Here is a 14,875-nt window from a genome sequence, read left to right on the forward strand (position 1 = left end):
ACAGTGGACAGCATGTATGATGGTGGTCCCGTAAGATTATGATATGGTATTTTTTGTTTAGATAAAAAACATTTTCAGATACACAAATACTTATCATTGACTATGGTACTCAGTAAGGTAACATGCTATACAGGTTTGTAGCCTTGAAACAATAGGCTATACCATGTAGCCTAGATGTGTAGTAGGCTATACCATCTAGGTTTGTGTAAGTACACTCTATGATGTTTGCACAGTGATAAAAATCACCTAATGACATATTTTTCAGAATGTATTCTTGTCATTAAGTGATGCATGACTGTATAAGTGAAAAGCTGCCTAATGGGAAAAGAGAAAAGGTGGTGGGACAGGAATAAGAAGGCAGGGCAGTGACAGATTTAATTTATGTTCAAGTACTTATGAGCAAAGAGTTTTTTTAAAAATTATTTTTCATGTAGACCCATTAACTTAGATTGCTTGATGCATTTGAATCCAGATTTTGAAGGGTAATAAGGTAGGTGTTTGGATATGAGCTAGAACTTGGGATAATAGTGTAGATTATGATTACTGGCTATAGTTGATTACCCTTGAACAGCTGTGAAATGAACCTTACTAGAAATTATTTTACTATGGTAATAATCACAAATTATTCAGAGAAGTTATTTGAAGTTTCCATAGCTGTTATTCAGTTGTAAGCATGTTTTACTGGGAGAGTAACTTTCAGATGGCAAGTGTTGAAACTGTAACAAACATTAGTTTAAATATTTTTCTATTATGGCATACCTAGTCTGAGTATTTGGCTTCATTTGCATATAATTTGTTAAGACCAAGGTTTTAAGTTTTTTCGTGATGTTTCAGAATGATATAATTTATGTCTGTGGTGATTTTAGCAATTTAACCCAAAACATTTAAACTCTTGAATCTGTCGTCTATTGAAAATAATGTATGTGTGTGTATGTATGTAAATATGCACACACATAAATAAAGATGATACTCTTATATTTGCTTTTTCTTTCCTATTGTACAAAATACTACCTGCCTTTTGAATTTAAGCCTTCGTGACACTTAATATATTTTTGTGTTTAGATCACAGATCTCTTACTTCCATGCAATGGCTTTTGTATTCTTCTTGAAATTGGGTGATTGAACTATTTTATGTTAATAATAGTTATCTGAAGATCTCTTTGCCATTAAATTTTCAAAAATGGTTCGAATACTATTGGTTCTTGATTAAGGATGATTAAGAATTTAAAATAATAAATATAATAAAAATAAATTTAGCACCTTGAACACCTTGTTAAGAAATATTACTGTAGTTTGAAATTAAACAAATGAAAAGCTCCCTAATAAAATGCTAAATGCTATACTTTTAATGACTTGCCTTTAGTTATAAGTTTCTGAAGCTTAAAAAAAATTCCTGGGTGGATATTACTTGGGAGAAATAGGTTATTAGTTTCTAAGTTAAATTTGACTTTTTCCCGAACATAAAACCTCCTTTTATACAATGGCTCTGTTTATGCAACATTGCAAATGGAAACTTCAGTTCTTACTTCTAATCTTGGGTTTTAAAACTCAAAGATTTATGAGATATGTACATATCTTACATATGTACATACACATATGCATACATGTATTATACGTATACATATATCTGATATATATTACACATCATGTACAGAGTCCAAATGTTTTCTCCTAGTCATTGTCATACTTCAACCTGTGACCTTTTCCTCTATACTTTCATGTAACTTTAAGCTCTCCTTCTGCCTTTTATATAAAAATAGTTTATTATTTAAATATGTTGTTTTTATCTTTCTATTTACTCATTTGTTAAAATGGTTGTTTCATATACCTGGTTCTCAAAACACACACTGTTAGTGCCAGCAGGATGGGCCCAGTGTGAAAGTGGATGAGAATGGACATCTCTACTCTTAGGAAACCAACTCTAAATGTGAACTCTGATTTTTAGTTACTGTGTGTAGGGAACTTTGAATTACAAGGATAAATAAACCATACTTTTCTTGCCTTTATATGGCTTATGGTCTGTCTGAAGAGATAGAAGAATAGATAACTTAAAAAAAAAACAAGTCTGTGAGGTTGCTGCAAATGAGATACATCTAAAACATTTCTCTCTTTGCTGTCCTTCACTACATGAGGTCACACACCAGCTCTTTAAGTATTGTAGCTTTCTCCTTGCATGTGTCTAAAAAGATATCACTGGATGGAAAATTTAAAGCATAAATTAGTGCCTATCTCAGAGTATTATAAAACTCTTTTTTAGAATCTGCAGCTGTTTAGTCATTAGGCTTGTTATAGATAGTATATCCTTTTCTCAGCTAAAATCAGACCTTCAAATCTATACCCCATTATCCAAAAATAGAGAATTTGATGCTTCTGGCAAGATTGATGCTTTAGGGTCAAACAAATGGATTATTATGAAACTCATATTATAATTAAAAATGTATGTAATCTTCCCGATTGTACTTATGTAAAGTAATCAGGCCAATATCTTTTGCATACCTTTAAAAATTTAGTGAAATGTTTATAAAAATGTATAAGTCAGGTCTGTGTGATTGTTTATGCATAAATTGGGTATCTTTTTGAAAAGGTTGACTGGGGGTGTATATATAATTAATTCTTAGCATGTTGTATATTTGAACAAGTATAGAAGAAAGTCACTTTTTTAATCTGTGTACTGTTGCAGTAATTGAGAGATCATGCTGATAAATAGGTGTATTTTGCTTTTGTGCATAGAATATGATGTTGGGCTGATCCAGACCAAAGATCATACTTCCTAATTTACTGAAATTAATGCTGCTCAATTTCAAAGGAAAAATATAGCTTTTACTTTTTTTTTGACAGCTGAACAAAATTAAGCTGTATATATTTATTGTATATATAATAATAAGTTGTTATATATACACATTGACATGCATATGAAAACTCTTAGCAGTGACTAAGCTTCTTTTTAGGACTCATTATGACTACTCACATTTGAAAGATGTTCTAGGCTGGGCACAGTGGCTCACGCCTGTAATCCCAGCACCTTAGGAGGCCAAGGTGGGCAGATCACCTGAGGTGAGGAGTTCAAGATCAGCCTGGCCAACGTGGTGAAACCTGGTCTCTACTAAAAATACAAAAATTAGCCGGGCGTGGGGGCGCATGCTTTTAGTCCCAGCTACTCGGGAGGCTGAGGCAAGAGAGTCACTTGAACCTGGGAGGCGGAGGTTGCAGTGAACCGATATCGCACCACTGCACTCCAGCCTGGGTGACAAGAGTGAAACTCCATCTCAAAAAAAAAAAAAAAAAGATATTCTGGTTTGGACCTTTACCCTGCAGATATGCATAGTTAATTATCTTTTTATTTGTATGTGTTTGTTTTTTTTGTTTTTTGGTTTTTTTTGTGACGAAGTCTCACTCTCACCCAGGCTGGAACGCAGTGATGTGATCTTGGCTCACTGCAGCCTCCACCTCATGGGTTCAAGCGATTCTTGTGCCTCAGCCTCCCGAGTATCTGGGACTATAGGCGCGCACCAACATGCCCGGCTAATTTTTGTATTTTCAGTAGAGACGGGGCTTCATTACGTTGGCCAGGCTGGTCTTGGACTCCTGACCTCAAGTGATCTGCCTGCCTCGGCCTCCCGAAGTGCTGGGATTTACAGGCGTGAGCCACCGCGCCCAGCCTCGTGTGTCTGTTTTAAAGTGCCTGTGAAATAGGCATGTTTTGTAGCATGCTCTTCTTAGCAAAAACACGAAAAGGTCATGCTTACAACAAGGCAAGGATAATTGAATGGGGTTGAAATAAAGACATTCAATTAGAACTTGAGGAAAGTGGGCTTGTACAGCTTGATAGAGAGAGGCTGGAGGGTGATGCTCATTGAGCCCAGGACAGGAAAGTGGTGATTCATGTAATTTGTTTCCTGTGACTATGGTTGACTTATGAGAAGTTTTTGTTTGTTTTGAAGCAGTAGGTGACATATGCTTTTGAGATAGCTAGTTATACAAAGCTGTGAACATCCAACATTGGGGTACAGCCTATAAGTGTTCAATAAATAATAATCTTACGTTAGAGAACTGAAAATGAAGGATGCAGTAGAGAGCTGTTGCAGAGTAGCAGGGACCTGGTATGTGTGGAGGGATGAAAGATGATCCCAGGGACTTGAATGTGGTAAACTAGAAAAGCTTTGGTATTATTTATCAGGCTGGGAAACTTAATAAAAGATATATGAGTTTGGGGGGAGAAATAATGAGTTTGGCTTTAATAAAGAATAAAAATGGCAGCAGAACATAAAACCTAGTATTAACAAATACTACCTATTGAGCATCTACCACATGCTAGACACTCTACTAGATGTCTCAACCACTACAACAAGATAACTCTATTCTTAGCCTCATTTTACACATGAGGAGACTGAGTCTTAGAGGGTCTGTGTAATAGGGCCAAAATCATGTGGCTGATAAATTGTGGAACTAGGCTTTGATCTGACTCCAGAAATAGCTAACTTGAGCATGAGATAGGAGCCTTCTCTTCTCTTCTCTTTTCCTTCCTTCCTTCCTCCCTTCCTTCCTTTCTTCTTTCCTTCTTTCTCTCTCTCTCTCTCTCACTGTGTTGCCCAGGTTGGAGTGCAGTGGCACAATCTCTGCTCACTGCAACCTCCGCTTCCCGGGTTCAAACAATTCTTATACCTCAGCCTTCCGAGTATCTGGGATTACAGGCATGAGCCACCACCATGCGTGGCTAATTTTTGTATTTTTAATAGAGATGGGGTTTCACCATGTTGGCCATGCTGGTCTTGAACTCCTGACCTCAAGTGATCAGCCTCCCAAAGTGCTGGGATGACAGGCGTGAGCCATTGCGCCTGGCCTACGTTTTTTTTTTTTTTTTTATTGCTAAACAATTTTAAGAAGATACTTGAGGAAAAAGATCTGTCTCCTCTTAGAGAAGCACTCATAGAGAACCATTGTGTGTGGTTTCTGCTCTTGTCCTGGGTTTTGTTGCTGATCCAATTAATTGTAGAACAGTGCCTGGAACGCTGAAATAGTCTCACCCAAATTCTAATTCTTTGTATTTTAATATTTTGTATTTGAGATTTTGCTAGACTGTTGATACCGGAAAAACTACAAATGCTGCTGTTGTCTTTTTTTTTTTCTAATAAGATAGGATCTCGCTATGTTGACCAGGCTGGTCTCGAACTCCTGGCCTCAAGCAATCCTCCCATCTTGGCCTCCCAAAGTACTGGGATTACAGGCGCCTGGCCACTTGTGTTGTCTTTTTATCTATTAAAGAAATAATGGGTCATGTGTCATTTTCCATGCTGATCTGACTTTTTGTTTTTTTGAGATGAAGTTTTGCTCTTGTCACCCAGGCTGGAGTCCAATGGCGCTATCTCGGCTCACTGCAACCTCCGCCTCCTGGGTTCAAGTGATCTCCTGCCTCAGCCTCCCAAGTAGCTGGGATTACAGGCATGTGCCACCACACTGACTAATTTTTTGTATTTTTAGTAGAGACAGGGTCTCACCATGTTGGTCAGGCTGGTCTTGAACCCCTGACCTCATGTGATCCACAACGCCTGGGCCTCCCAAAGTGCTGCAATTACAGGCGTGAGCACCTGGCCTGACCTAACTTTTTTAGGGAGCTAGAAGAGTTTTGGGCCTTTGCAAGCCTCCTGTTTGCCTTTATCCTCATCATCCGAATCTACATTTAGTTTATTGTTTGTGAGTTTTTTAGTAAACAGAGTAAGGGAATGGTCATGTTACAATTAGTATTACCTCTTTCTACTCTGAAAACTTTTCCTCATTCCTCCTTTTTACAGTGATTCAGTTCCTAAATCATCGTTTCCCCGCTCACTTCTAGAGGATGAATTGGCTGGAATGCTTTTCCAGTGTACCACTTTCAAATCCTTGGGATTATCTTTCATCCCTCTTCAGGGACTGAGTTCCTGCTACTCTGCAACAGCTCTCTACTACATCTTTCATCTTCAGTTCTCTAATTTAAGTTAACATTCTTATTTATTGAATACTTATAGTTAACTTTAAAGTCCTTTTATGGTAATCATAAAAATATAATTAGTTCAAAGAAGAGAACATCTCTTCTGTACTATAAGGTGAATAATTTCATTAGGCTCTGATAAATGTGCTTAAGTGATTTATACTAGCTCCTTAATGCCACTTTTCTTCAAAACTTCAGAAACAAAAATGAGTGTGAATCATTTTTCCCCCCACAGGCCTGCAATATATAGGCACTGATGAACAAATACCTATATAGTGGAAACTCTTGAGTAATTTAAGCATAGCTCTTTATCAGTTGTTGAAACTTCTTCAAAGTAGTGCATGGATCCCAGCACTTTGGGAGGCCAAGGCAGGCAGATCACCTGAGGTCCAAGAGTTCAAGACCAGCCTGGCCAACATGGTGAAACCCCATCTCTACTAAAAATACAAAAAAATTTGCTGGGCATGGTGGCGGACACCTGTAATCCCAGCTACTCAGGAGGCCGAGGCAGAATTGCTTGAACCCGGGAGGCGGAGGTTGCAGTGAGCGGAGATTGGGCCACTGCACTCCAGCCTGCGCGACAGAGCAAGACTCCGTCTCAGAAAACAACAGAGTAGTACGTCGTGATCTATTTCTACATAAAAAGTAATCCAACACTGATTTACTGTGTAATTAGAAGCTGTAGTTCATATTTTACAATTTAAAGGTGTATTTCATATATTAAAGCATTTTAATTTAAAAAAAATCAACTTTTTTTTTTGTTTTTAAAGTTACTTCCTATACTTAAAACACTGTGTTCTAGGCATGACATCATAAAGTAAAATTCAACCAGACATCTAAGGAAAATCTGTTGAATGCCTATCAAATATCAGGCACTTAGCTAGGCACTGACTACAAAAAAAAATAAGATGTAATTTTTACTTTTAAGGAATTTAACATGGATAAATTAACAAATATAAAGTCATGTTTTCTTTTCTTTTCTTATTTTTTTTTTTTTTTTTTTTTTTTTTTTTTTTTTTGTGACAGAGTCTCGCTCTGTCGCCAGGCTGGAGTGCAGTGGGACAATCTCAGCTCACTGCAACCTCTGCCTCCCGGGTTCAAGTGATTCTCCTGCCTCAGCCTCCCGAGTAGCTGGGACTACAGGTGCCCGCTACCATGCCTGGCTAATTTTTTTTATTTTTAGTAGAGATGGCGTTTTACCATGTTGGCCAGGATGATCTCGATCTCTTGACCTCATGATCCACCCTCGGCCTCCCAGAGTGCTGGGATTATAGGCGTGAGCCATCGCCCCAGCCCTAAAGTCATGTTTTCTGTTGTCAGGAAGTTTAACATATAGTTTGGGAGGTGAATTTGAGATAAGATGGTAGTTGACATGATAGTGTGAAACCTTTCCCTTTTTTTTTTTTCCAATAAATTTCTCCATTGAAGCCTGCCTTAGGAAAAATTCATGTCAATAATAAAGCGGGAGGGGAAAAGCATTTCCCAGAACCCCACATGAGAACTACCATAAAGCTGGGAATAGAATTAAGGAGTAACATTATTAGCTGATAATGGACTGAATGAGAATGGTATAGTGAGAACCTCTGTTTTACCTCTGTGTGTCAGAGGGCCCAGAATCCTTGGTGTAGTAATGATGGATTGTAGAACCTTCCCCAAATGGCACAGTTGAAACTTGATCCAGGAAGCCCAAGTCATTGCCGTTAAGACTCTACCATATTAGGATGGGCAGGAGAACCTCTCCTAGCTGTATAGATCCGGAGTTGGCAAACTACTGCCTGTGGGCTCTATTTTATAAATAAAGTTTTGTTGGAATGCAGCCACAGTCATTTAAGTATTTTTTGTGCATGCTTTTGCAATACAATGACGGTTGAGTAGTTGTGATAGAGACTGACCCACAAAGCCTGAAATATTTATTATCTGACTTTGTATAGAAAGAGTTTGCTGACTTCTGATATTGAGCAAGCCCTAACTAGGAGAATATTGTGGGAACAGCGTAGTGGCCTTAGTGAACCACAGTCTTAATTTCTATTTGACTCTTTGCCCTTGGTGCTCTAAGAGCCTGAGGAATAAGGTTAATAAGGTGGGGGACTTCAGTGAAAATTACTTTTCCGTTGATCTGGACTTGAGTAAATCCTTTGAATGGCTGGGCAGGAAGTTTTGTATTGGTTACCTCTTTCACGTGTCAACTGTCACAGCAGAGATGTGGAATTTGCTGGGTACTGGGCATACAGAGACGCATATAGTCTATTTACCTTCTGTCACATCACTGGCCTGCATAGTACCCTTTCCACCCAAAGACGAATACGAAGAAGAAAACAGTCCTCATTGAGATTGTGAAAAAATTCTTCAGCTCAAGAGAAGGACATTCTCATAAATATGAAGAGATTTATGAGTGTAAAATACTTTGGAGAAAAATATGTGAGATTCAAAGGAACGTAAATAAGAAATTAAGACGAAACAGTTAACTTTTGTTTCAAGTGCCTCTTCCAGGCGTTGTGCTAGCTGCTTTATTTTCGTGTCTCTTTCAATCCTCACATTAACCATAAAAGTTAGAAGGAATTATCCTCCTCTTATGTGGGGGAAACTGGTGCTCGAATAGGTTAATTTCCTGAAAGCCATACAAGTCAGTAGATGGTTGAGCCGGGAATTAGTCACATTTTAGGCTCCCCTTCTTTCTTAAAAAAATTGAGGTAAAAGTCACATAACATGAAATTAACCATTTTAAAGTATACAAGTATGTGACATTGAGTACATTCATAATGTTGTGCAACCACCACCTCTTTGAAGTTCCAAAACATTTTCATCACCTCAAAAGAAAACCCTGTACTCACTATTTACCCCCCATTTTCCCTTGCCCCTGGCAACCACCAATCTGCTTTCTGTATTTACCTATTTTGGATATTTCATATAAATGGAATCATACAAATCATACAACATGTGACCGTTTGTGTTTGGCTTCTTTGACCTATGTTTTCAAAGTTTATCCACGTTGTAGCATGTAACAGTACTTCATTCCATTTTATGCCTGCATGATACTGTTTCGTGTTGTATGAATATACCTCATCGTGTTTATCTTTTCATCAGTCATGGACATTTGAGTTGTTTCTACCTTTTGTCTATTGTGACTATTACTGCTATGAACATTCATGTACAAGTGTTGTTTGAATTTCTATTTTCAATTCTCTGGGGTATATACCCCAAAGTAGAGTGGAAATGCCATGTTTAATTTTTTGAAAAATTGCTTAAACTGTTTTCCACAGCAGCTGCCCTCCTTTACATTCCCACCAGCAATGTATGAGAGTTCCAATTTCTCAACATCCTCACCAACTCTTGTTTCCTCCTCCTTCTCCTCCTCCTCATTGAGACAAAGTCTCACTCTGTCGCCCAGGCTGGAGTGCAGTGTCTCCCTGCAACCTCCGCCTCCCAGGTTCGAGTGATTCTTGTGCCTCAGCCTCCCGAGTAACTGGGATTACAGTTGTGCAAGCCACCATGCCTGACTAATTTTTGTATTTTTATTAGAGATGGGGTTTTGCCATGTTGGCCAGGCTGGTCTCAAACTCCTGGCCTCCAGCGATCCACCTACCTTGGCCTCCCAAAGTGTTGGGACTATAGGTGTGAGCCACCACGCCTGGCCACCTTATTATTACTTTTTAATTGTTGCCACCCTAGTGGATGTAGTGTGGTATCTTATTGTGGTTTTGATTTCCATTTCCCCAATGATGAGTGATTTTGAGCATCTTTTCATGCGCTTTTGGTCATTTGTATATCTTCTTTGGAGAAATGTCTATTCCAATCCATTGAGCATTTTAAAATTGGGTTGTCTTTTTGGTTGAATTGTAAGAGTTATTCATATAATCTGAATATAGATTCCTTATCAGATATATGGCTTGCAAATATTTTCTCTAATTTTGTAGGTTGCCTTTTCACTTTCTTAATAGTGTGCTAGATGATGTACAAGGTTTTTAATTTTGATGAAGTCCAGTTTATTTTTTCCTTTATTGCTCATATTTTTAAAACCATTGCCGAATCCAATGTCATGAAGATTTATGGCTGTCTTTTTTTTAATGGTACAGTAGTATAGTTTTAGCTCTTATGTTAGGTTGTTGATCCATTTTGAATTGTTGTTTGTACAGTTAAAAATTGTTTTAATGAAATTTTATTTTTATATATTTAAGGCGTACAAGTACAGTTTTGTTACATGGGTTTATTTGCGTAGTGGATGAAGTCTGAGGTTTTTGTGTAACCATACCCAAATAATGTACATTGTACCCATTAAGTAATTTCTCATAACGTTTGTACTGTTTTTGTATATGTTGTGAGATAGAGGTCTAACTTCATTCTTTTGCTTGTGGATATTCAGTTGTCCCAGCACCTGGATTTGTTGAAGAGATCATTCTTTCCCCATTTACTGGTGCTAGCACCCTTGTTGAAAATCAGTTGGCCATAGACATGTGGGTTTGTTTGTGGACTCTCACTTTTATTCCTCTGGGCTATGTGCCTGTCTTTATGTCAGCACTTCACTGGTTCGATTACTATAAATTTGTGGTAAATATTGAAATTCGGAAGTGTGAGTCTTCCAACTTTGTTATTCTTTTTCAATACTATTTTGTCTATCAAGGGCTCCTTGCAATTCTGTATGAATTTGAAATTTTTTTTTTCATTTCTGGGAAAAAAAGCTGTTGAAATTTTGATAGAGATTGCAGTGACTCTGTAGATTGCTTTGGGTAGTACTGTCATCCTAACTATAAATTCTTCCAATCCATGGGACCTTTCCATATATTTAAGTGTTTAACTTCTTTTAGCAATGTTTTGTAGTTTTCAGTGTGCTAGTCTTTTACCTCATTGGTTAGATTTATTCTTAGATGTTTTATTCATTCGGATGCCTTTTTTGTTTTTGAGGCAGAGTCTTGCTCTGTTGCCCAGGCTGGAGCTTTTTTTTTTTTTTTTTTTTTTTTTTTGAGACAGACTTTCGGTGTGTTGCCCGGGCTGGAGTGAAGTGTTGTGATCTTGGCTCACTGCAACCTCTGCCTCCTGGGTTCAAGCAATTCTCATGCCTCAGCCTCCTGAGTAGCTGGTATTACAGATGTGCACCACCACGCCCAGCTAATTTTTATATTTTTAGTAGAGACAGGGTTTTGCCATGTTGGCCAGGCTGGTCTCAAACTCTTGGCCTCACGTAATCCACCCACCTTGGCCTCCCAAAGTGCTAGGATTGCAAGCGTAAGCCACCGCACCTCGCTGCTATTTTAAATGAAATAGCTCTGTTAATTTCTTTTTTAAGAAATTTTTTAAAGATTTTTTTAAGCTATTTTAAATGAAATTGCTGTTAATTTCTTTTTAAGAAATTTTTTTAAGATTGTTTGTTGCCAGTGTATAGAAATATTATCGATTTTTTTTTTTTTTTTTTTGGAGACAGAGGCTCTGTCACCCAGGCTGGCTGTAGTGCAGTAGTGTGATCTCGGCTCACTGCAACCTCTGCCTCCCAGGTTCAAGCCATTCTCCTGGCTCAGTCCCCCATGCAGCTGGGATTACAGGTGCATGCCACCACACCCAGCTAATTTTTGTATTTTTAGTAGAGACAGAGTTTCACCATGTTGGCCAGGCTGGTTTTGAACTCCAGACCTCAAGTGATCTGCCTGCCTTGGCCTCCCAAAGTGCTGGGATTACAGGCGTGAGCCACCACACCCGGCCCCAGTTTATTTTTTTTTATTGTGGTAAAATATATGTAATATAAAATTTGCCGTTTTAACTATTTCTAAGGCCGCAGTTTGACATTAATTGTATTCACGGTGTTACGTAACCATCACTACTATGTATTTGCACATTTTTTTCATTACCCCAAACAGGAACTCTCTGCCAATTAAGCAATAACTCTCTAATTCCCCTATCCCCAGTAGTTGTAACTTCCAACCTACTTTCTGTCTCTGTGATTTTTGCCTATTCTAGATATTTTATATAAGTGGAATATTACAGTATTTGTCCTTTTGTGTCCGATTTCTTTCACTTAGCATGATGTTTTTAAGGTTCATTCATGTAGAGTATATCAGAACTTCATTCCTTTATATGACTGAACAATATTGGAACAACATATAACAATATTATATGGTTGAACCTTGAAAACATCATGTTCATTGTATATGTATACAACGAACAAAATGTGTTGTATACATGTAATTAGACATCATCTATTACCATTGAGTATTCGTGCTGTTACCTGTGGGTTTTATAAATGTTCTTTATCAGGTTGAGGAACTTGCCCTCTATTTATAGTCTTCTCATCTGCCATGGATATGATATGTGGGGGGAGAATGTACACCACATTTTGTTTATCCATTTGTTTCTTCGTGGACACTTGAGTTATTTATACCTTTGGTTATTATGAATAATGCTGCTATGAACATTCACATACAAGTATCTGAGTCCTTGTTTTCAATTCTTTTGAATATATACCTAGGAGTAGCATTGTTGGGTCATATGGTAATTACATGTTTAATATTTTGGGGCCCACTGGTTTTTGTGTTTTGATCTTGTATTATGCAACTTTGCTGAATTCGTTTATTAGTTCTAATATTTTTGTGTGTGGATTCTTTAGAATTTTCTCTGTATAAGGTACCATCTGTGAATAGGGGTAGTTCTACTTATCCATTTACAATTTGGACACCTTTTATTTCTTCTACTTGTCAAATTGCTCTGGCTAGAACTTCCAGTGCTTTGTTGAATAGAAGTGGTGAAAGTGGGCATCTTTGTCTTGTTCCTGATCTTGAGAGGAGGGGTTTTAGTCTATTACCATTGAGTATTCATGATGTTAGCTATGGGTTTTAAAAATGTCCTTTAACAGGTTGAGGAAGTTGTCCTCTATTTCTAGTCTTCTCATCTGCCATGGATATGATATGTGGGTAAAGGTAGGTGGGCAGTTTAAAATGCACAGTGTTATCACAAAGCAGCTACCTCTTTCACCAAGCCTTCCTCTGGTAGTTGTGAGTTTTTGAATACCTGCAGAGTTGTGGAAAAGTTGATTCTGATACTTTTTGCAAGCTCATTAGTTGTTTTTGTGGAGGGACAGAGTCCTAGATTTCCCAGTTCTGCCATTTTCAGTGCTAACACTCTCCAGATATGTGTTTTGCACATATTTCCTTCCAGTCTGTGGCATGTCTTTTCATTCTTACAATGGTATGTTTACCAGAGCAGAAGTTTTTAATTTTAATGAAATCCTACTTAGCAATTTTGTCTTTCATGGACAGTCCTTTTGGTGTTACATCTGAAACCTCATTGCCAAACTGAAGGTCACCTAGATTTTCTAGGTTATCTTCTGGAAGTTTTATACATTTGCATTTTACGTTTAGGTGTATGATCCATTTTGATTTAGTTTTTGTGAGACTTGTAAGGTCTGTGTCTAGATCCTTTCTTTTGCATTTGGACATCTAGCACCGTTTGTTGAAAAGATTGCTTTCCCCATTGGATTGCCTGTGCTCCTTTGTCAAAGATCTGCTGATTGTAATTGTGTCGAGTCTATTTTTTGTTTGTTTGTTTGTTTTAGAGATGGGGTCTTGCTTTGTCATCCAGGCTGCAATACAGTGATGCAGTCATGGCTCACTACAGCTTCAAACTCCTGGGCTCAAGTAATCCTCCCATCTCAGTCTCCTAAGTGGTTGGGACTATAGGCTCATGCCACCATGCCCTGCTAATTTTTAAATTAACTAATTAATTATTTTTGAGATGGAGTCTCGCTCTGTCACCCAGGCTGGAGTGCAGTGGCGCAATCTTGGCTCACTGCAACCTCCACATCCTGGGTTCAAGCACGTCCTAGTCTCAGCCTCCTGAGTTGCAAGGACTACAGGTACATGCCACCACGCCTGGCTAATTTTTATATTTTTAGTAGAGATGGGGTTTCAGCATATTGATCATGCTGGTCTTGAATTCCTGACCCCAGGTGATCTACCCACTTCAGCCTCCCAAAGTGCTGGGACTACAGGCGTGAGCCACCGCGCCCAGCCTAATTTTTAAATTTTTTATAGGGACAGGGTCTTGCTATGTTGACCAGGCTGGCTCTTGAGTCTGTTTTTGTGCTTTATTCTGTTCCATTGATGTCTGTGTCTATTTTTCACCAATACCATATTGTCTTGATTACTGTAGTTTTGTGTTATCTTAAAGGGGAGTAGTAGTATCAGTCCTTTCACTTTGTCATTCTTCAGTATTGGGTTGGCTGTTTTGGGCCTTTCAATACACCCTTTGACTTTAGTTTGTCAATATTCACAGAATAGCTTCTGGGGATTTGGATTGGGATTGCATTGAATCTGCAGATCAAGTTGAGAAGAACTGACATCTTAACAATATTGAGTCTTTTTTTTTTTTTTTTTTTTTAATTGGAGTCTCACTCTGTTGCCCAGGCTGGAGTGCAATGGTGCGATCTCGGCCCACTGCAACCTCCGCCTCCTGGGCTCAAGCGCTTCTCCTGCCTCAGCCTCCCGAGTAGTTGGGATTGCAGGCTCCCACCACCACGCCTGGCTAATTTTTGTATTTTTAGTAGAGCTGGGGTTTCGCCATGTTGGTCAGGCTGGTCTCAAACTCCTGACCTCAGATGATCCACCCGCCTGGGCCTCCCAAAGTACTGGGATTATAGGCGTGAGCCACCGCACCCGGCCAACAATATTGAGTCTTATAATCTGTGAACACAAAATCTCTCTCCATTTATTTAGATCATCTTTGATTTTCAACAGCAATGAATAATTTTTCACATACAGATCCTGCAAATATTTTGTTAGGTTTATACCTTAGCACTATTTTTGGGGTGCTAATATAAATTGTATTGTGTTTTCAATTTCAAATTCTAGTTGTTCTTTGCTGGTATACAGGAAAGTAATTGACTTCTGTCTGTTAACTTTGCATCCTGTGACCTTGCTGTAATTGTTT

The 14,875-nt window shown here is 38.3% G+C and overlaps 1 protein-coding gene across 3 annotated transcripts in view; it reads left to right on the forward strand.

The window, feature by feature from the left end:
• The window catches only part of CDKL5 (cyclin dependent kinase like 5), a 228,022-nt gene that overhangs the window by 85,832 nt on the left and 127,315 nt on the right, over positions 1 to 14,875 (forward strand). The gene's annotated exons all lie outside the window — the stretch shown is intronic.

The sequence above is a fragment of the Homo sapiens genome, chromosome X (assembly GCF_000001405.40).
Source record: "Homo sapiens chromosome X, GRCh38.p14 Primary Assembly".
Taxonomy (NCBI): Eukaryota; Metazoa; Chordata; class Mammalia; order Primates; family Hominidae; genus Homo; species Homo sapiens.